The sequence below is a fragment of the Homo sapiens genome, chromosome 2 (genome assembly GCF_000001405.40).
Source record: "Homo sapiens chromosome 2, GRCh38.p14 Primary Assembly".
In the NCBI taxonomy this organism is placed as follows: domain Eukaryota; kingdom Metazoa; phylum Chordata; class Mammalia; order Primates; family Hominidae; genus Homo; species Homo sapiens.
This window is the reverse complement of record NC_000002.12, coordinates 161,191,076-161,213,661: the sequence shown is the minus strand read 5'-3', so window position 1 is coordinate 161,213,661 and position 22,586 is coordinate 161,191,076. Positions and strand designations below refer to the sequence as shown.

General features: G+C 35.6%; 1 protein-coding gene across 13 annotated transcripts in view, besides 2 other annotated features; it reads right to left on the bottom strand.

Moving 5' to 3' along the window:
- The window catches only part of TANK (TRAF family member associated NFKB activator), a 99,268-nt gene that overhangs the window by 22,569 nt on the left and 54,113 nt on the right, over positions 1 to 22,586 (bottom strand). For 12 of the 13 annotated variants that reach the window (XM_047441820.1, NM_004180.3, XM_047441804.1 and 9 more), the window contains 2 exons: positions 10,067 to 10,175; positions 8,869 to 8,987 (listed from right to left, as the gene is read on the bottom strand). In XM_047441820.1, coding sequence (XP_047297776.1) covers positions 8,869 to 8,987; positions 10,067 to 10,175 — 228 coding nt within the window. Of the gene's footprint in view, positions 1 to 8,685; positions 8,988 to 10,066; positions 10,176 to 22,586 lie in introns of those variants that run through there. The other variant, NM_133484.2, reaches the window with a different exon arrangement.
- Positions 13,641 to 13,700: an enhancer, noted in NCBI's record as "active region_16708". NCBI's record gives its function as "activates an Ori minimal core promoter by ATAC-STARR-seq in GM12878 lymphoblastoid cells {active_cell/tissue: GM12878}" and the evidence as "EXISTENCE:reporter gene assay evidence [ECO:0000049][PMID:35858748]".
- Positions 20,395 to 20,564: an enhancer, noted in NCBI's record as "experimental_54752 CRE fragment used in MPRA reporter constructs". NCBI's record gives its function as "activates a minimal promoter by MPRAs in K562 erythroleukemia cells, with activity observed for both the introgressed and non-introgressed 2:162049694 variant alleles {active_cell/tissue: K562}" and the evidence as "EXISTENCE:reporter gene assay evidence [ECO:0000049][PMID:34662402]".

Below are 22,586 nucleotides of genomic sequence, written 5' to 3'. Positions count from 1 at the left end.
CACTGAAAAAAAAAAAAACCTTCAAAACAGATTTAGAGAAATTTTCTTTTTTTTTTTTTTTTGAGACAAAGTCTCACGCTTGCCCAGGCTGGAGTGCAGTGGTGTGATCTTGGCTCATGCAACCTCCATCTCCTAGGTTCAAGCGATTCTCCTGCCTCAGCCTCCAGAGTAGCTGGGATTACAAGCACCCACCATCATGCCTGGCTAATTTTTGTATTCTTAGTAGAGACAGGGTTTCATCACGTTGGCCAGGTTGGTCTCAAACTCCTGACCTCAAGTGATCCACCCACCTTGGCCTCCCAAAATGTTGAGATTACAGGCGTGAGCCACTGCGCCCAGCCAGATTTTGAGAACTTTTAGGATGACAGGTTATAATAATAAGATAAACTAGATGGTTTGTGGGTGCTATAGTTTGGATACTTGTCGCCTCCAACTCTGATTTTAAAATTTGATCCCCAATGTTGGAGGTGGGGCCTAATGGGAGGGGTCTGGGTCATGGGGGCAGATCCCTCATGAATAGAGAAATCCTGGGGGCTGTGGGGGTAAGGATGGCAGGTGAGTGAGTTCTTACTCTTTTAGCCCCTGAGAAAACTGGTTGTTAAAAAGAGTCTGCCACCTCCCCTCTCTCTCTTGCTTCCTCTCTCATCATGGGATCTTTGCAATGCTGGCTCCTCTTTGCCTTCGGCCATGAGTGGAAGCAGCCTGTGGCCCTTGCCAGATGTCAATGTCCAATCTTGAACTTTTACAGATATCAAAATCATGAGCCAAATAAACCTTTTTTCTTTATAAATCCCCAGCCTCAGGTATTCCTTTACAGCAATACAGACTAAGATGGAGGTGGACAGGGGGCTATTCCTTACCTATCAAGGTTTAGAGAACAGCCTTTCATTCCTTGGCCAAGAGAAATCAGGGCTGGATAGACTCTTATCGACTCTATTCTGTGTGCTTTGAAGACAAGTTTTAAATAAAGAGAAGTGTGAGAAAAGGGATGATAGGGGAAATAAGGAGAGAAAAGCCATACTAGAGACATTCGAATTTGCTTCTAAGTTAGGAAAGACAATTTAGAAGGTGACATATCACTTCTTATTTTCTTTTCTTCCTCAAAATTATTTCCAGTATTTTAACAAAAGCAAAAACTGTAAGATGATGTACTGAATTCAAAAACACAAACCCAGAGCAGGAAAGGGTTAGGATTAATTAATAATTTAGATTGGAAACACAGTTTCTGCAATAGAAAATTTCAATGTAATTATTAAAATGTTTTGGATATCAATATTTGTTTTCTTAAGAGTTTGTGTATCAGCCAGGCACAGTGGCACACACCTGTAATCCTAGCACTATGGGAGGCCGAGGCAGGTGGATCATTTCAGGTCAGGCATTTGAGACTAGCCTGGCCAACATAGTGAAACCCCGTCTCTACTAAAAATACAAAAATTAGCCAGGTGTGGTGGTGTGTGCATGTAATCCCAGCTATTCGGGAGGCTGAGGCAGGAGATTCACTTGAGCCTGGGAGGTGGAGGTTGCAGTGAGCCGAGATGGTGTCACTGCACCCCAGTATGGGTGACAGAATGAGACCCTGTCTCAAAAAAAAAAAAAAAGTTTATGTATTATGACTCTTTGGAAAAAACTGAACTTTTAATGAATAAATTGGTTGAAGATAGTTATTTTCCTTTCTAATTAACATTCTACCAGAAAGTCTATAAAAAAGGCTAGTCTCCAGAGGAGTAATACAGAAGCATTATATATAAAAATAGGGTATATATAATGCAGTTTCTAGAAAGAAAACCAGGAGAAGCGGTACATTTGCTTTGGACTGCAAGGCAAGGAGTACCTGAGGTACTACACACAAACACGTTTTTCTCCAGTTCTCTAAGCCCCAGCCTACATTGGCCTGTGCCATTGTACAGTGTGCATAATCACCATTTCTGTATGATAAAAGATAGAAAAGATTAAACATTAAAGGAATTCAGGGGCAAATTTTTAAAAAGTTGAGTAACAAACACATGCAATTACATTTATTTCAAGTTCCTCTTTTAGAAGAGGTGCTATGTGTTTAGATGATGTAAATGAGATTTGGCTTTTCCATAGAAATCACTTAGTAGCTAAATATGTTGACTAACGGCCTAATTTTTAGCTTTTGTTCAAATGATGAAAAACATATTTATCATTTACCTATAAACCATTTTAAAGCTTTTACAATGAATATAAAACCAGGTACCTGGACAACATACAGCAACTTAACAAACAAATGTGGATTAAGGGACTTGCAACAGAAAGTGTCTGGAGTGTTGAGAGAAGCTACAGGGGCCCAAAACTCAGACGAAGATCCCTAAGTGGGCACTGCACTTGAAGTCCAGTGTATATAAGATATGAACAGTGTAAGGATGGGAATGCCATCTAAGACCTAGACCTGTGAGATTAGGATTTTATTAGCTACAGAAGATCAGAAAGCAAAACAGAGTTCAAGTTCATGTACTGCCTGCCAAAACTGCTATACATAATTGAAGAAGCAGACCATGCGTAAATGCCGCTCACTGAAGGACTGTCTATAGAATAAAGTTAAGAAAAAGGTAGAAAGCACTTTCTCCTCTGAAGCCATGATTATGTCAACTAAAAATGGTTATGGTAAATGAAATGGCTCATTCAAAACCCTCAGTTTTAGCTTTCAGTTTACATACATAATATTCTCTCCCAAGTGACCTAGAATAATTCTGGCTCTTGTCTAGAAATTATCCTTTTTCCATCAAAGTCTTGTAGAAAATTTAACTTTACTTATCTATGCACACATAACCAAGATAAAGGCAAGTAAGAACTTGTCTTCTTTTCTGTATTTGAACTTAAACTTTGGGCCCTTGATCAAGCCTATCTTAAGCTCACTGAGAATTTTAATTTTTAAATTAAGGTCCTAAATGTTTTATCTGTGCCATAAAATTATAGTTAGAATTTCTTTTTTTTTTTTTTTTTTAGACGGAGTTTCACTCTTGTCACCTAGGCTGGAGTGCAGTGGCGTGATCTCAGCTCACTGCAACCTCCGCCTCCCGGGTTCAAGCAATTCTCCTGCTTCAGCCTCTCAAGTGGCTGGGATTACAGGTGCCTGCCACCACGCCCGGCTAATTTTTGTATTTTTAGTAGAGACGGGGTTTCATTTTGTTATATAATTAGGACTTTACATTATTTTATAATGCTTGCTAATTGCTGTAGGTCTCCATATTGTCATTTCCCCAACCAGACTATATCCTTAAAGGGGATAGATGTTGTCTATTACAATACTATTGCTATTGCTGTGTTTTGTTTTTTGTATTTCTGTTAATGACTAGCAAGGCTTGGCAAATAGGAGTTCAATAACTACTTCTTGTGTAAGTGATTGACAAATGACTTTTTAGACAACAGCTTTCTTCAAATATGTCAGAGCTTCTATATTTACTTGAAGTTGTCAGGTACAGCACATCTTACTGCTTGCAATTGCCAGCTCCACAGCTATATCACTGTTTATACTATTCTAAACCTAAAAAATCTTTCTTGTTCCTCAAAGCCACCATATCTGCTGATCTAATCACAATGATAGCTATATTCGAAATCTGCAAACTGTTTAACTGACATCTTTCAGTAACTGCACTCGTCATTTACTTGAGTTTTTGATTAACTCAGATGAAAAATAAAGACATGTTTAAAGAACAAATTAGAAATATATAGACATGAGAACACATAAACTCTATTTAATTAGTGAACTCATACCATGTTCACTTCATATTTTGGATCCTAGAATCTGAAATAACTTTTCAACATTCAATAATGTTAATTATTAAATCAAGACTTTAAGCCAGAAGACAGGGACAACATCTCTTTGCTCTCCAGTGGTTGGCAGTGTTAAGTATACATCATGAATTCAGAATTACTGGATAAATGAAGAAAAATAATTTACCAATATCACCAAATTTTTTGTCTTCTATATTATTGCTTTCTACATATTTTCTTGCATCAAACCACCGGAGAATTTTGTATAATTCTCCACAGGAACAAAAAGTAGCATAGAAAGATGAGGGCAAACAATTTCTGTCAAAACCTAGACACTCAAGATAGTATTTAGTTTGGCAACCAAACTATTTCCCAGAAGCAAATTATAAAAATCTCATTTCTGAGATTATATAAGTGACACAGTACATTACAATCCTGGTTTTTAAAAAAGTGAATTAAACTGACAATTTATAGTTTTGTATTTTTATAGAATGTCTTTATATTTGTTACACAAATACAAAACTTGTTATTTAAATAGTAACTGCTAACATGGACATAAGTTACTATGTCTGAAAATGGTGTTCTGTAAACAAGAGATGAATAGTCTTTGTCAAGAATAATTGTGTGCATTTTTGTTATCTGATTTCCTATCTGCATTTTCAGTTTTTAACATTATAAAAAAGAATTAGTAATATGCAACAATTTCTTAGTTCTCTAAGCATTGCTATTATTCTCCTCTGGAAAGTATATTCATATTAGAATTTTTGAAATTGTTCTTCAGATGACAGGCTATGATATTTTTTCCCTTTAGGATTAATAATCACATAATTCAGGAATTTAATTCACTATTAAGTGAATATTAAGTTCCCTTACGTTTCATCAATATTTGTCATAAGGTAAATTAAGTATCAGCCCCCTTGTCTCTTGATCTTTCACATCCTCTTCTGTACACCACAATCTACAATACCTGTGTTGCTTTTAAAATATATCTATGAAACTTAGATACTTTTCCCTTCAAGGGGTGCAGCTTAATTTCTTGCCCCACTACTTAGTGACTTGCTTCTAATGAACAAAATTAAGTGGAAGTGAAGGAATGTGACTTTGAGACTACGTCACAGAGGGCACCTTTCTCTCTCTCAGATCCCTTACTTTGAGTGAAGTTAGCTATCAGTTTGTGCAGAGAGGCTCATATGGAAAGGCCTCCTGCCAACAGTCATGTGAGTGACTCATCTTGGAAGTGGATCCTCCAACCAGTTAAGCCTTCGGATGACTGCAGTCCTTGTCCACATCCTGACTTCAACATAAGAGACCCTGAGTCAGGGCCACCCAGGTAAGTCACTGGGTGAATTTCTGACCCATAGAAACTCAGGTAAATTTGTCGTTCTAAGCCCTAAGTTTTGGGGTAAGTCTGGAATAATATGATAGATAATGCAAAGGACTGTGCAAATTACTGTGGTGTACAAAAGACAAAACTAAGGTTTTCCATTAAACTGAGTATTTCCTTCCCTACTGTCTCAAGCAGAGTACTAAGGGTCATCTAATGATAGAGGCTTTGTCTTTACCTCTTTCTGTCCCTTTAGAAGTCAAAGGATTTTTGCATTCTTTTTGTGTAGGAATAACATGAATAGAGACTGAACTATAAATTTCATGTTTCTTAAGTAAAATTTTCTAAAAGGGCCTCTTTCCCCTTCAAATATCCCTCTTGCCTCTACTTTGTGTCTCTTTTTTCCAAGGCAGCCAGAGTGGCTATTTGCCAAAATGTCCACAAGTCTTTCCCTTCTCAAACATCCTGACAAAACAAAATCCTAAACAAAACAAATTGTCTAAAGAAAACAAATCCTCAAACCACCCACCAAACAGAAGGAGGAAAGCACTGTGGGTGGCTCGTAGTGGCTTCCTTCTGTTACTGGTTCAAAGCATTTCTATTAACTTACTAATTCATTATAGAAGCTAGGCCAATTGATTGGGAATGTGATTTCTAGAAATAGGTTAGTTTTGCAGAAGACCATTAAAGTATATTAAAAATAGAATAAAAAAGAATCATACCATCACCTTAACCATTTCTCTATAATGCCTTCCAGTTCTCATCCATGTGGGTGCATACTTTTAAAAAACTGCAACAGACATGGATTTTTTTCATTGTGGAAGAAGCTTGAATATAACCATATATTCAGAGTTCTTTAGGAAAGGTTTCACCTGTATTAGCTAAAGGTGAATTATAACTCACTAAGTATAGATCAACACATAGGCCAATGGAACATATTTTAATTTCCATTGCTTGATGGGCCAGTATTTTTTCTAACATAGGCCTAATTTTTTACACTAAGCACACAGCCAACTCTCAAATATTCAATAAATCTAATTTATCCATTCTTTTACAATATATTTTCTCTTTTCTTTAATCCCTTATACGTTTAGTGCTCATTAGCACTTTGGCTAGAGATACATAAAAAAAGAGAAAGCTGAACTGCAAGACAGTTAATTTTTATTTTTATTAAATGGTTACAAAGAAAATTGAGTTGATGAACTATTCAAAGTATAAAAATGTGGCTAAAACATAAACCTTTCCCCTATTAGTAAAGATAATTAAGAGAACTCGCTGAAGTTAGGTTTATTCCTTACTTGGAGCTTTTCCTCTTACCGTCTGCCCAAAAATATAGTTATAATTGATGTAATATTATTCACTCTTTGCACACAGGCTATCTCTGAAATGATTTCTGTTACTTAAACTTAATTTCATCCCAGGTATCCAAATATATATTTCACAGATAAAATACTTAGCTTACAGAATTTAAACAAATATAATTTTTAAAAAGATTTCCATTGAAGGTCTGCTTTTGATACTTATTGACTGAAAATAAACTCTAAAACTTGCATAAATAACAAATTATCCAAATTAAAAAAAACAAAACTATTACTATATCTTAGAACTTTTCACATCATCCCTTTTGTTCTAACCAAGGTTTTATTTTCAAAACTACCTTCTACATACTTTAAACTGGAGATATTCTATTACTTTCAAAGGAATGCTATAAATTATTATTAAATTTGCAGTTAAGTAATGGCATTTGGAAGACATTGAAAGAGGAAGATTAGAAATATTGTTTATTTAAGCACTAAATTTATGTCAGTATAGTAATTCAACAATTTTATAATGTACTACAATAGGCCTAGTAAAAAAATTGCATTCCAAAAAGTCAGAATCATTGTTTCTCAATTTCCTCTTTTGCAAAATAAACCTAGTATATTTCATTGCCATGGTTTCTGTGTTTATCAGCATTTTTAGATAAATGAAAATTCGAATGGGGGTGAAGAAAACTGAATGACTCAAAGAATGGTTTAAAATAAAAATATATGTACTAAGGGGTACCAAGAGAACTTCTTATTCTAAAATTTTTATTTATAGAAAAAAGCTCTCAAAATTGGATTTCTCAGATTTGATGTTAAATAGTAAGATAGTCTTAGTTATGCAATCAGTAACTGAATAACCCTAACAAAGTGAAAATCTCCTACTTTATTTAGAAGGAAAGAAATAAATATAGCACTCTTGATTTAATTGTTCTTGTTGATGTTAAGAAACCTTATTTGCTAGGAGTTCGTATTTTATTCAAAATATGTATCGTCCCACTAAAAGCCAACTCATCTCATTAAAAATATCCTTTTCAAACTTATAAAATTTCAATGACTTATGAAAACATGGAGAACAATATAATATACATACATATACTACTGAGTTAACAAGTGTTAACATTTTGCATACTTGCTTGGCTCTCTTCTATTAAAAAAAAAAGTTGCAGATATAACTGCTGAAGCCCTCATTATTCCTTTTTCAGATATCACAGTCTCTTTTCTCCCCAATTCTAGAGGTGATCGTTTTTCTAAAGAAGATGTGTGCCCTTCCTGTACAGGTTTTTATACTTTTATTACATATTTGTGTTTTCACAAACATTAATGTTATGTTTTAAAAACTACATAAAGTATCCTAATTAGCCACGCATGGCAGCATGCGCCTGTAGAATTGCTTGAACCCAGGAGGTGGAGGTTGCAGTGAGCAGAGATTGCACCACTGCACTCCAGCCTGGGTGACAGAGCAAGACTTCATTTCCAAAAAAAATCCAAAAACAAAACAAAACAAAACCAACAACAACAACAAACTACATAAAGTATTCCCATTTTATCATTTTGTAATTTCCATCTTTACTCAACATTGCTATTGAAATTTAGGCAAATTAATATATATTTAGTATATTTTAATTTTTCTAAAGAGTTTCTAAAGATGGACTATTCTATTATTGGTGGATATTTAGGTTGTTTCTAACCCATGGCATGAACGTCCTTGTATATGTCTCCTTGCAGATATGTACTATTTCTTTCTGTATTACTTCAATAGAGTCTTGCTTAAGCTAGTTGGGTGTATTTTTCTTTTAAACTAAGCACAGACTATTGAAGAAAAAGCTAGAAAGCTATTATCTAATCTGTGTCTTATTATTTACCTGATTTTAATCTTTTATTTCATTGTTTATATATATACACACACACACCACACACACACATATATGTACATATGTATGTGGCATTCATTCATTAATTCATTTATTTATTTATTTAGAGATAGGGTCTCACTCTGTTACCCAAACTGGAATGCAGTGTCATGATCATGGGTCACTGCAGCAGCCTTGACTTCTTAGGCCCAAACAATCCTCCTACTGAGTAACTGGGACTGCAGGCGTGTGCCATTCTGCGTGGCTAATTTTTTCATTTTTTATAGAGATAGGGATCCCCCTATGTTGCCCAGGCTGGTCTCAAACTGCTGAGCTCAAGTGATCCTCCCTCCTTGGCCTCCCAAAGTGTTTGAATTACAGGAGTGAGTCAGTGTGTCCAGCCCTATTTCTTTGTTAAATGTTTTCTTTGTTGAAATGCTTGTGATGTAGAAAAACGGTCAGTAGGAAATACAAAACCTCAGCCTTTATTTTACTTGAAAATAGTTCTTCTATTTAGAAATATTTAAGCCACATATTTGTATATATGGAACTTCTGTTTGGAATTCCAGCAGATCACTTCAGAAAAATAAAATGAGGAAGCTATGTCACGCATCAGCATTTAAATGCTGCTTTCTGCAGAAGCAATGTCTACCTTTGGTAGTTTTTCTCTTGCTATTCCTGAAATCACTTTATCTTGTGGCTGATCAAGAGTCAAATTATTCTTTCTTGTTTCACTGTCTTCAAGCAGAGGAACACAGCCATAATTGTTATCTGCAAGACAAAAACCTCTTGGACATTAGCAGAAAACCCTTATTTTTGGTACCACCTGAAAAAGCAAAAAATAATACAAACTCAAAACCATAAAGAGAATACATTTTAAGGTAGGAGTTTTAGAAAATTCTTTAGGTAATAGTTACTTTGACAAGTTGTCCATTTATATTTTTTCCTTCCCACTAAACAAACACACAAAACCCCTGCTCTCCAAAAGCCAGCAGTATGTAAAATATGCAGAATTTAGAAAACTAGAAATATGCTCTTTGCATCTGTCAGCAACAATTCAACTTTTATATTCACATTTTCAGGTATGCGTTTCTTATTTAAGATAATTATTTGTATTATGACTCCATGCTTATTATGGGAAAATTAGAAAATGCAGACAGCCAAAAAGAATAAAAAGTAAATGCTACCCAAATTTTTATCACCTGTGAATTATTCCAGTTAATATTTTGGTTTATATATTCTATCAGAATTCTTCTTTTCCTATACATATAACTTCACACAAGAATCACCTTTTTCTGCATAAATGAAAAAAACACTTATTTATGTATCCTGCTTTGTTCATTTTGCTATATATCGTCCACATATTCTTACAAGTTAATACCTATTATCATCACTTTTCTTGGCTACATAGCTATTCATATAGATCAGTGTAACTACTGAATATTTGTTTCTAGCTTTCCATGATTAGACATTATACTGTGATACACATCCTCGCATATATATTTTTGAGTACCTGAACAAATATTTTCTTATGATATAGTCTTAGGACTTGAGTTTTTGGTTCAAAAGGCATAGATGTTTTCAAAAGCTTTTGCTGCTATTTACTGGCAAATTGCTTTTTAGGAAGTTTTATAAACTTAGAGTTCTACCATATAGTATAGTATATGTGAAAGTCCACTTTCCCATATCCTGCAAGTGTTCATTTAAATAAACATAACATATAACTGTACCACAGTTATAATATCAAAACTATTGAGAAACAACGAAGGAATAAAATAGAAAAACTCAACTTACACCTTTCTTTTCACCAAGAGGTTCTAGAAATACATAAAAAATTAACATGAACATACCTTGAGTGGAATTCACAAGAAGTAACTGAGATTTTAGCTTGTCAATAATAGTCTGTTGAAGTGACAGCTGTTCCTGTTGTTCACGTATTCTCTGCTCATAGTTCTCAGTCTGCTGACATAAAAACCAGTTAGCCTGATATTCACTGATAGACATGAACATATATTTACCATCCATTGATAATATAAATAGATATGAGTTGCCCACATTGTCATTTTGCAGGTATTGTGATTTATGAGATACAAACTGGCTCCAGGAATGTACTTGTAATTGTTACAAACATCAGTGATTCAAGACACTTAAAGCACCGCAGAAGTTTTAAAGATTAACTTATTTAAAGACATTTCAGTCAAGGATTCAATCTATGATTTCCTGATCCTTCAGTAAGGATCAAAACTGTAATTTAGCATTTATTCCTTAATGGAAAAAAAAAAGCACAAATGATACAACAGATGCTATATTAAAGTGATTCTTTAAAAATACATACTAACTTAAAAAATTAAGATTTTGTGTCTTTCAAATAAACACACTTCTAAATTTATTTTTAGAGTACACAAACACTAAGGAAGTGTTGATACAAATCAAAGGGACAAATGCAAATTATAAAATTATACTGACCAGAAACTTCTCCACTAAGTTTTAAGAAATTAAGAGAATATAGTTGACCTTTGGTGTCTTAAATGCCAGTTTCCCTTATATTGTTAATCCATTAATTTTGCTATGTTATTGCAGTGACTGTGAGAATAAAGCAATGAAAAAAGACACAAGTTTGTACTGAGGAATACAGATGCTGCAAACATTCAAGCAAATTTGAAACTGTTGTATCACAATTACCAAATTAGTACAGTCTTAAAAGCGTATCACCAAACAATAGCAGAGAACTCTTTTTTTAACCAATTTCTATCCCTGGAGGGATAAATAAATAATGACTAAGTTGCAAATTCCTTGAAATATAAAATGAAAATGAAGTTCTAATAATCTCAGAATGATCTTCAGTAGATACTAGATATTTCACTTTAAACTGATTCTTAAAGTTCAAAATTAGTGAAGCTCTATTATTTTCAGAGACCAATAAACTTAAAAATTTTAATAAATTACATAGCTGTTCATAGATTAGCAAATATAAATTAGCTTAAGAAATTAAAGCTTGGGAGGCTGAGGTAGGTGGATCACGAGGTCAGGAGATTGAGACCATCCTGGTTAACACAGTGAAACCCCATCTCCACTAAAAATACAAAAAATTAGCCAGGCGTGGTGGCAGGCACCTGTAGTCCCAGCTACTTGGGAGGCTGAGGCAGGAGAATGATGTGAACCCGGGAGGCGGAGCTTGCAGTGAGCCAAGATCACACCACTGCACTCCAGCCTGGGCAACAGATCCAGACTCTGTCTCAAAAAAAAAAAAAAAAAAAAAAAAAGAAATTAGAGCTAAATACTACATTTTCCCAAATGAAAGGTGAACTTTTATAAGTAATACACTCCAAATATGAATAACTGACAAAGCTGATAAGCAACCCATGTGGTACATTGTCTTTGCACATTGCCTAAAGGCAGTCTTACATAGTTTCACATTCCCCACAGAATTCATATGGATTAAGTAACTTATACATAGGAGATGTTCAGTATATGTTCACTGAAAAATTAAAAAAGGAAATACGGATTCCAATTACATTTTATTATTGTGAACAGAAGAATGAATCATGTAGGTCTACCTGAAGTGCATGTCCAATGAATACGTCTCAGAACTGATCACTGATACCCAAGTCTAGTCTAGGGCCTGGCTTCCCAGGATAAGACATCTTATTCCTGTATAAATTCACACCCAACCCCCTAGAAACAGTGTGGTAAGCTGACTGAATGAAGGATCCAAAAATCTACAGCAAATTCTAAATACCTTAGATTTACTTGGGCTACAGAGCACCACCAGGGCTGAAGAATCAGCAAACAAGTTACAGTCTTCTCTATATATTTCTGCGCTAATTAAAGCTTTCTCCAAGAACTCAAAGTTCTTCACAAACATCAATCAATAAGTACCTATTTTTTTCACTTTATTTTGATAGGTATATACATTATACTGTCCAGAGATTAAGTAACCAGTCCAAAAAACTTAGCAAGTTAGAGACAGGCGCAGAATAAATGCCTATGTTATTTAAGTCTCTATGTCTTTTTTTCCCACCTTAATGAAGAAACCATATATTTTCTTTTGAAACCAACTCAGAAAGCTTCTGCCAGTTAATTTTTATCTTCTATTCTCTGGCTTAAAAAACATACTTTAGCACATCTGCATATAAGATATTACAATAAATAAATAATCCTGAAAATGTATTCAATAGCTAAGAAAAATTAATGGATCAATGGCTATTTCAAATTGAAGTTTTAACTACTTCTTAAGCTACTTAATAAAGTATTATAAAGGTCGAGCAAAGTCTACAATAATTTTAAAAACCAACACTCTGGAAGTATAGTAAGGGAAACAGAACAGCAAGAGTCCATGTTTTCCTCCTACACTTTTCACATACTTGTATTTAGCAGTTATAATATTCTAGTCTAATTGTCTAATGTCTGATTTCCCTCTAGACTGAACTCCTCAAGGGTAGAGAGTATTTCCTCCTGATATCTCCAGAGTATTACAGAGTGCCTGGCACATATTAGGATGCTCAGTAAATATTAGTTGAATAAACAAACTAATTAACTTGTTAAAGAAATATCAGAGTTGAGCAACCCATGCTGCTGCTCTGCCTCTGGAGTAGCCATTCTTTTATTCCTTTACTTTCTTAATAAACTTGCTTTCACTTAAAAAAAAAAAAAGAAATATCAGAGGAACAGATATGCTTTCAGAAATGATCTGAAGGAATGGAGGAATGCTTTTGCTTATATTTCTCTAGAAACACTAAAAACAGAAACAAGGTCAGTAGGTAAATACGACAAAGGGAAACTAAGTTTGAGAAAACGGATGCAAAAGATAGGTAATGTTTGAAGATTCTTTTTTTTAAAAAGGGAAGCTTATACCGTTAGAAAAAAGGTAGTAATTTGAGAAAATGCATATTCAGAAAAAAGTACAAAGATTTTGACCACAGACTATGAGAGGGAAAGACCAAAAGGAAATATTACATCAAACTGGGAAATAACCAGTAGAACTTGGTTTATTTGCTATTTGGAAAGTAAATGAAACTAGTCTTTTTTTTTTCATTTGATTAAATGCTTTTGTTCACAGAACATATCTGCCTAAACTTAAAACCAGAAAAGTCCTTTTACAAGGTCAGATTATTGTTGCACAGTCATAGTATTTTTTTAAAATACAATTACAAAGCAAGTACATTCTAGCACTATCAAAGACCCCACGAAACAGAAAACTCACTAACAACCACATTGAAAATGTACAACAGCAATGTCTTGTCAACACTTCTGTACAGAGCACAGACATGACAGCTAAAACAGACAGAAAAGAAGATGCTTTTGACAGCCAGTGTGTGTGAATGATTCTTTGAGTCAGATGGCAGCAACAAGTTACCAACTAGGAGATCTGCATGACAACTAACCATCCATCTGTATCAAACACCATCTGGCCAAGATGACTCTGGCTTCTGTGTATTTGACACTCCTTCCAATTTCAAAGACTAGCAAAACAAGTGGTCTACCAGCATCTAAAGAGGTAAACAGGTACTTAGGTACTTGTGCTATAAGGTACTTTGTTTTTTATTTTATTATTATGTTATTTGTATAGAGACAGGGTCTTACTATGCTGCCCAGGCTGGTCTCAAACTCCTGGGCTCAAGTGATCCTCCCACCTTGGCCTCCCAAAGTGCTGGGATTACAGGCATGAGCCACCATGCCTGGCCCATAAGGTTAACTTTGTATTCTTTCTTAGTGTTCAAAAGTAAAACTTAAAACACTGGTGATCAAATATAGCACACATCCTAAATTTATCAAAAATGGTTGCCCATACTCTGGATTATGATAAGCAAAGCAAAAAGTTTATTTTAAAAATTGCCCTTTTATCCAGGCAAAATTTCAGTATTTCCTCTTCAAAACTAAGGCAGCATATTTCCTATAATTTTCTGTAGATAGATGTTTAAATTTCCATGAGTATCATAAATATTAAAATAGAGTTCCATAAATTGAATTGTTTCCTATTGCTGGTATTGAACATTTTTTTTTTGTATTTTCCAAGGCACTTATTTCTTACATAGGGGAAAAAAAGTTTAAGTGCCCTTAAGTTATCTATAATATCCTAAGTCAAACATTTCTTCTCATCCTCAATAATTAATTGCAATATTCTCAAAAATATCACTGCTTTCCTCCAATGATTTATTAAGGAATTTAATAAATGTTGAGTGGATTGAAAAAAAAAAGAAATAGTCCCAATTCAAAAACCTTTCAAATTATTCCAAGGTTAATAAAGAGAATGAAAGATTTACTAAAGGATTTGCGTGGCTACCACAAATGCTCTCCATAGGAAGCTCTACAGTTCATGAAGGAAGATAATTAAATATTAATTATCCTAATACATAGCACTTTAGATAGAAACTAATTAGACACAATCTAATTAAAATACATCTTGAAATTTTGGTAAGCTAAGAATCAACTTCAATTTTGAGTTTTCTTTAAATAGTACGAGATCAAACAGGATCAGCAACCCAGAGATCCTGGCTTACACAAGTCTTTCTTCAACCATTTTCTGCCTACTAGGTTATAAGCCCTGTACGTTCCCACCCTCCAGTACCAAGATTTATCTAGAAGATCTGCAATTTGACAGATCAGATTTCCAATCTAATTATCTACTTTTAGGTGACAGTGCTGCCACCAATTTCTCAGCATGCCAAATGGTAAACTATGACAAACTATTTTTATTTTACAATCCTGTGTTTCGGTCCTGATTAATTTACTTGCCTCTTTGAGCTTTTGGTTTCTTCCTCTGTAAATGAAAATTATACTTACCTGAAGGATTGAAAGACACAGAATATATAAAGTATTTGTCTCGCGATATGCTCATTGGAAATATTAGTTCCTGTTTTTAACAATGAGCAAGGTATCTAAATAATATCCACAGCCGTGGGAGTGAGGCCAATGCAGAGAGTCACCATCAGGGCAATTCCTAGTGGAGTTGCCCAGGCAGGGCCATCCCAAGACCCCAGACCAGTAGAGCCACCAGGGTGCAACTCCAGGCTGGGAGACCCAAAGGCATGCAACTCCAACACACAAGAAATGCAGCCAGCAATGTGATGAAGTAGGGTTGCCTGGAGCCTTGGGGGTCCAACTTCCACCCCAGTGTGTCCAGAAAATGAGAAATGGGAGTAAAAGACTACACCCAAGCTTCAGGGTTTAATGTTTGCCCTACTGAGTTTTTTGTTGTTTATCTGAGGTGTTTGGATTTGGTTAGAACCTGTTAGCCCTTTGTTCTTTCCTGTTGCTCCATTTTGGAGTGGGAATATCTATCCTGTTTGTCCCACTATTGTCTTTTGGAAGCATATAACTGTATAATTTCATAGGCTCACAGCTGAAGAGGAATTTGTCTCTGGATGAATTGTACTTTGAGTCTCATCTCCGTATCTGACTTAGATAGTGTTAAGATGAAACTTTAGATTTTAAAGTTGATGCTGGAACAAGGTAAGTCTTTTGGGGGCTTTTGGGATGGAATAAATGTGTATCACGTGCATTTATCTCATATATTTTGTATGTGTGCAGGATATAAATCTGGGGGAGCCAGGGGTGAAATGCTATGATCTGAATGTGTGTCCCCACCAAAATTCATGTTGAAACTTAATCCCCATTGTGATGGTATTAAGAAGTGGGGCCTTTTAGGAGGTATTAAGTTATAAGGGCTGCTCCCACATGAATAAGATTAAGGCCTTTATAAAAGGGGCTTCACACAGAGTTCAGTCCTTTTTGCCCTCCATCCTTTCTGCCATATGAGAACACAGTGTTCATCTCCACTAGATGATGCAGCAATGAGGTGCCATCTTGGAAACAGAGACTGGGCCCTCACCAGACACCAAGCCTGCTGGAGCCTCGATCTTGGACTTCTCAGCCTCTAAAACTGTGAGAAATAAATTTCTATTATTTACAAATTACCTTGTATAAGGTATTTTGTTATAGAGTGCAAATGGACTAAGACACAGAGCATGTAGCACATGTTTATGAACAAAAGCTCTGGTTATCACCGAAGCCAGATCTCTCAGTCATTTTTCTAGTTCGTTGTAACCTAGGATTCAGGTGTTTCTTCACGAGAAATCAGTATGGTATCTCCATTGAATCAAAAACATTCTGTCAAGCAAAGAAAACAAAACAAAAAACCAACACCTGATTGTTCGAAGTTTACAAAGAGACAAAATGGACTAAACGATTAAAGATTAATGGCTATAGTTATAAAAATCGCACATTTGTTGAAAAATTCAAATAACAAAATGACGACTACCACCAACAGAACAAAAATAATGTACAAGTACGTACAGATATGTACAAAGTAAAACATGGCAGTATCATCCCTTACTTTGCCTTCCATTTTTCCTCAAGGGTAACTGCTATTGACATTTTGGTATATACCCTTTCAGAACTCCTGTATACATGTGTGTATACGTATCACACTTTTTTACAAATGAGAACTATTCCGCAACCAAATTTTTCAACTCAGCAACACATTATCATCATGTGATAATTTCATTTAATACTATGTACCAAAATCAGTTTTATTTTCTTTATCTCATTTAATCCTTAAACCAACCTTCCCAGGAGACTATTTCCCACATTTTACAGATGAGGAAACTGAGTCTTAAAGAGGTACAAAATAATCTGCCTAGGCTCACTGCAACCTCCACCTCCCAGGTTCAAGTGATTCTCCTGCCTCAGTCTCCTGAGTAGCTGGGATTACAAGCGCTCCCGCATCACACCTGGCTAATTTTTATATTTTTAGAAGAGACAAGATTTCACCATGTTGGCCAGGCTGGTTTTGAACTCCTGACCTCAAGTGATCCGCCTGCCTCGGCCTGCCATAGTGCTGGGATTACAGGTGTGAGCCACCGCGCCTGGCCCCCAAGTATCAATTTTAATCTTAATTATTAAGATTTCCCAGTAGATAGTAGAGCTAAGATTTGAATCTAGGCTTGCCTGAATACAAAGCCCAAGCCCCTAACTAACCACTATGCCACATCGTATTAGTACCTCTAGCTCACCTGAGGCCCTCTCTTGCTATATATTCTCTTCCTAGGTAATCTCATCCATGCCAGTAGCTCAAATTTTTCTTCTAGCTTAGATCTCTCTTCTAAGCTATAGATCTATGTGGCCAACTGTTCCTGGGGAAGCACTTAGAATATTCAAAACTGATGATTTCCCCCAATTACCACTCCCTCTCATCTCTCCTCTCTACCCCGCCAAAAGTCTGGTTCTTTGCTAGTATTCCTTTTCTCAGTATATGGTGCTCTTATCTATACAGAAAGCTGTAACCATCTTTGACATCTATTTGTTGTACAGCCAATCCATTACCAAGTATCAATTTTATTTATCTTTTTGAGATGGAGTCTTGCTCTTTCGGAGCTCTGTCTTGCTCACTGGAGTGCAGCAGCGTGATCTAGGCTCACTGCAACCTCCACCTCCTGGGTTCAAGTGATTCTCCTGCCTCAGGCTCCTGAATAGCTGGGATTACAGGTGCCCGCCATCACGCCTGGCTAATTTTTGTATTTTTAGTACAGACAGGGTTTCACCATGTTGGCCAGGCTGGTCTTGAACTCCTGACCTCAAGTGATCTGCCTGCCTGGGCCTCCCAAAAAAAGTGCTAGTATTACAGGTATGAGCCACTGCGCCTGGCCCCAAGTATCAAGTTTAATCTCAACTATTAATATCTCTTAAATCTATTACCACATCCTTAATGGACTGCTGCAATAGCCTATTCTCTAGTAGCCACTGTGTTCTTTGCAAAATGCACATGTAATCATATTACTCCATACTTTTTCCCTACCCCTCACCCTTGTCCCCCAAAAAACCTTAAATGGCTCCTTACGCTCCTAGAATAAAGAACCGAAAGTCCTTAATATGGTCTCCAAGTCCCTACTAAGAGCCCCTGACTCTTCTCATTGCACTATTTCCCTTATACTTTAAGTTCTTTTAGGCCAATGGGTTTTACAATGCAGGTCCTTGAACTTAAAAAGCCCTCCAAACCTGCCCTTTCAAAAATCATTATATAATGATAATCTTCTCTGACCTGCTGGATTAGGTCAAGTCCCCAACAGACATTCTAATAGCAATTTACCTTTCTTCTTGATACTTTGATCAGAGTTTCAAGCTATATTTGTGAGATTGTTTGATTAGTCTCTGCTTTACTAGACTGTGCCACCATTCCATGAAGCAGGAAGCAAGCATGTCTGTTTGCTTATCATTGTAGATTTAGTACTTAGTGCAGTTCCGGATACATAGTAGCTGCTCAATATATTTTTGAATGAATATCATTAATTCTTTATTAACCAATCTCCTTGAACATATATCCTACATACCTGACTAAAAGTTTTAACACGACATATTTCTGGAAGTAAAACCTTGGAAGAAAGGATACAAATATCTTCCATTCTGATAACGTGGAAAATGAATCTACTGGCAAAGTACTGACAATGTACAACAAAGAAATAAAGCTTTGATCAGAAACTACCTGGAGCACTTTTATTCTAATACCAGTAGCTTCATTAGGAAAAAAAACCAGAATGAACTGCTTTACCCCATCAACACTTTGGATAGAGTATATATGTTGTTGGGGGAAAAAAAACATAAAAAAAAGAGTGGTAAACAATAATGAGGCCATTTACATTTTATGTGAAAATGAAGGATTTTTTTTAACACAGTACCTACAATAAAGGTATTTTATGCCGTTTGCAATCCTTTAAAATATGTTTTACAAGCTTTTAGAGGTAGCATAAGCCTTAGGCTAAAGGTTTACATTTCACATGGGTCAAGACTAGCTCTTGAGTAAAGCAATCTGACAACAAAACGGTCCTTATCGCTTAACATTTATTGTCAGAAAAACATTAGAGAAGATCTGTAACTTATGATAAAAAGACAAGGCACAGTCAAATTTACTCTTATTTTAGGCCTTCTCTTCAGCCTTACTGGCAAGTCAATAAGACTCTTTGCTTAGCAAATTGCATGGTTTTAAATATTATGTATCCTTCACTTTTCTTCTCGGTACAAAGAAAAAGCAGTTAATACATCATAGCATCTGAATAATTTTAGAATTAAGGAGAATGCTTCCTTTCTATGTAAGACTTTGTCAGTTTTTCTCTTTTAATCAAGAGGGGGCAAGAAGAGAAAAATTCCATTTCAAATTTCTCTTCTCAACAAAGAGATTTCTATTTTCTAATTACATAATACAAAGAATCTTGGGACAAGCAGGAGAGGCCAGCTGCAGGTTTTCTATAACCTAATCATTTACGATTATGGTAATCTGACTTGTAAATTGCTATCAGTTTTAACAGTTTCAGATGTTTTAATTATTTTATTACTGATTCTACTCTTGGAAAGATGGTCAAAGAAGCAATAGAAATTTCTCTCATGGAACAGTGGCAGAAATTGATGACAAGTAACTTGGTATGAGTAATAAACTGATTAAATATTTAATTCCATATTATGGAGTCTTGTGATACTTGAAACTCTCCAGGCAATTTTGGCGTAGTCAGCCAAAAGATGTGGCAAGGACTGCTAATTATTCCCCATATCCATTTTCTTTCTTTCTTAGAGTTTTAACACGGCACATGGTCACCCAGCTAGAGGATATATTTACCAGCCTTCTTCACTACTAGATGTGATCATGTGACTAAGTTCTGGCTAGAGGGTGTGAACAGAAATCATCTGCACAAATTCTGGACAACATCATTAAAAGAAAGCTGCCTGCTCTTCACTTCTCTTCCCCTTCTCACTGGCAAGGAAATGAGGAGAGCAGCCATTGTGATTTGGGAGAGGGAAACCATATTTTAAGAATGGTAGAGCTGCCTTACTAGCCCTGTTCTAGTCACCTGTGGACTGCTACAAAAGAGAGAACTTATTTATCTATTTATTTATTTTTAAATAAAGACAGGGTCTTGCTATGCTGCCCAGGCTGGTCTTGAACTCTTGGGCTCAAGCAATCCTCCTGCCTTAGCCTCTCAAAGCGCTGGGATTACTCACATGAATCTTTGTGCCAAGCACAGACAAAAGTCAACTTTTATATTTATGCACTGTATTTCTTAGTCTCTCTGTAATAGCGTATCCTATATAATAACCAATTCAGGGGCCAAACCAACTCTACCACCCTATACTCTCCATAATAATCTTTTGTCTTATTCTGTAAGCATAGTAAAAGTTGTCTGGTCAGAGGCTATTGTGATTAAAAGATTCCTCTACCTTGGAATGAACAGAAGACCTCTTAGTGTGGGTATGTATGAATGCTTACACATGCCAAGAAATGGAATAAGCAGTATTTGACTGTGAACCCTTTAAGTGAATGCTCTATCTTTTAATTGCTAGCATATATGATGTCCCTGGCACATGATAAATTGAAGGATGAGTAAAGGAAATATTCATAGCAAACTTTATGCTCTAGCCTCTCTTGCTAAAAAGAGATGTATAAATCACAAAGTAAGGATTCATCCAAGGAGAGAGGAGACTATATTAAGTTATTCATAGCAATGGGAAGAAAACAGTTTGAAAACCTGGAATGAGCTATGACTTAGCTAGGTTAGTATAACGAATATGGTCTTCGGTCTGATAAACCTAGTTTCAGTATAGATTCTGCAACTTAGATTGGAAAATCAACATTTCTGAGTCTAGGTTTCTTCATTTGAAAATAAAGCTAACAATGTCTACTTTTGTAGGGCTGTGACACCTGTAGAATACGCTCATTCATTAAATGTTAATTTTCCTTTCTTATTTATGAAGTAATATGAATTTAAATGTTGAAGGGAAGAAGACTGCTTCTGTGTATTTGAGATTAGTGCGCTACTTCCATGTATCTGAAATTGTCTGGTATTTTAGTATGGTCTAGAATGAGGGCTGTACCAGAGGATAAGCTAAAAAGAGCCATGTTTTAAGACTAGAGGTTCTAAAAAAAACAATTTAACAGCATGGTGGCAAGAGGGCCTAGGCATAACAATGGAAAATTTAGTCTAGAACTAAAAGAGAAAAACACAATTTAGAGGCCAGGTAAAATAAATATACTTCGTGATCAGTAGCAGGACACTAGTAGTGGTAAGAGGAGAGATTATCCTTTGAAATTTATGTGAAGTAAATTTAGGGAAAATAAAAGGTAGTATTATTCCACGCAGCAGCTTATTAAACTCATTACTCTCTTGCAATGGTACAGGTGAGAAAAAATGGTGAATATGTAAGTTCAGGTCTGGATATTCAGTTTAATATGCCTTCCAAGTAGCAGTGATACAAATGGGTATACAGTTCAGAGGGCAGGTCTGGACTAGGAATATAAATTTAGGAGTTAATTGTCACAGATATCTCAAGCCACAGGAAAAAATGAGAAGGTTCATGTAAGAATAGAAAGTAAGGGCTGGGCATGGTGGCTCACACCTGTAATCCCAGCACTTTGGGAGGCTGAGGTGGGCAGATCACTTGAGGTCAGGAGCTCGAGACCAGCCTGGCCAACAAGGTGAAACCCCATCTCTATTAAAAATAAAAAAATTAGCTGGGCGTGGTGGTGGGCGCCTGTAATCCCAGCTACTCAGGAGGCTTAGGCAGGAGTATCATTTGAACCCAAGAGGCAGAGGTGAGCCAAGTGAGCGCCACTGCACTCCAGCCTGGGCAACAGAGTGAGATTCCATCTCAAAAAAAAGAAAAATAGTGTTTTAAGAAGGAAGGGTAGTACAAGGTATTGTCAGGTATTCATGATATGAGGTAGGTTTATATGTACAAACCTGAAAGACTATTGACAATTTTTGGCAGAGAAGTTATAGACAAGAAGTTTGTGGTCAAACATTTTTTGCAAATTCTAGCTCTACTAATTCTACTAACTTAGTAGCTATGTGGTTGTGGGCAAGTTACTTCATCTCTCTCACTTCATTTTCCTCATCCAAAAAATGAAAATAATACTTCCTCATAAGATTTATACAAGGATTAAATAACTGTAAAGCTCTCTGGCAAACAAACCTCAACAAATCTTAGTGATGAAGATGATGACATTAAAACATTTAAAACCTTTTTCAGATTAGCATGCTTGCATTTTTGAAAAAATATGATTCTCATACTCTGAAAGGATATATACCCAATTACTAACAATGGATAGCCCTGGGGAGTGAGGGAGAGGACTATCACTTTATATCCTGTACATCTTGAATTGTTTACTTTAAAAAAAATAAGCATGTGGTGCTTTCGTAATTTAAGCCAATAATATTTTAAAAATCACTTATCTGTTTTGTCTTTACCTCCCTTATCAATTTGGAATACTTAGATGTCTTTCCTGAACAGAATGTTCCTTAATGGATACAGCATACTGACTTCTCAAAGAAAAACTTCTGAGTCTCAAATTGCAGTGAACTGGAAGAAACACTGAGAGAAGAACTG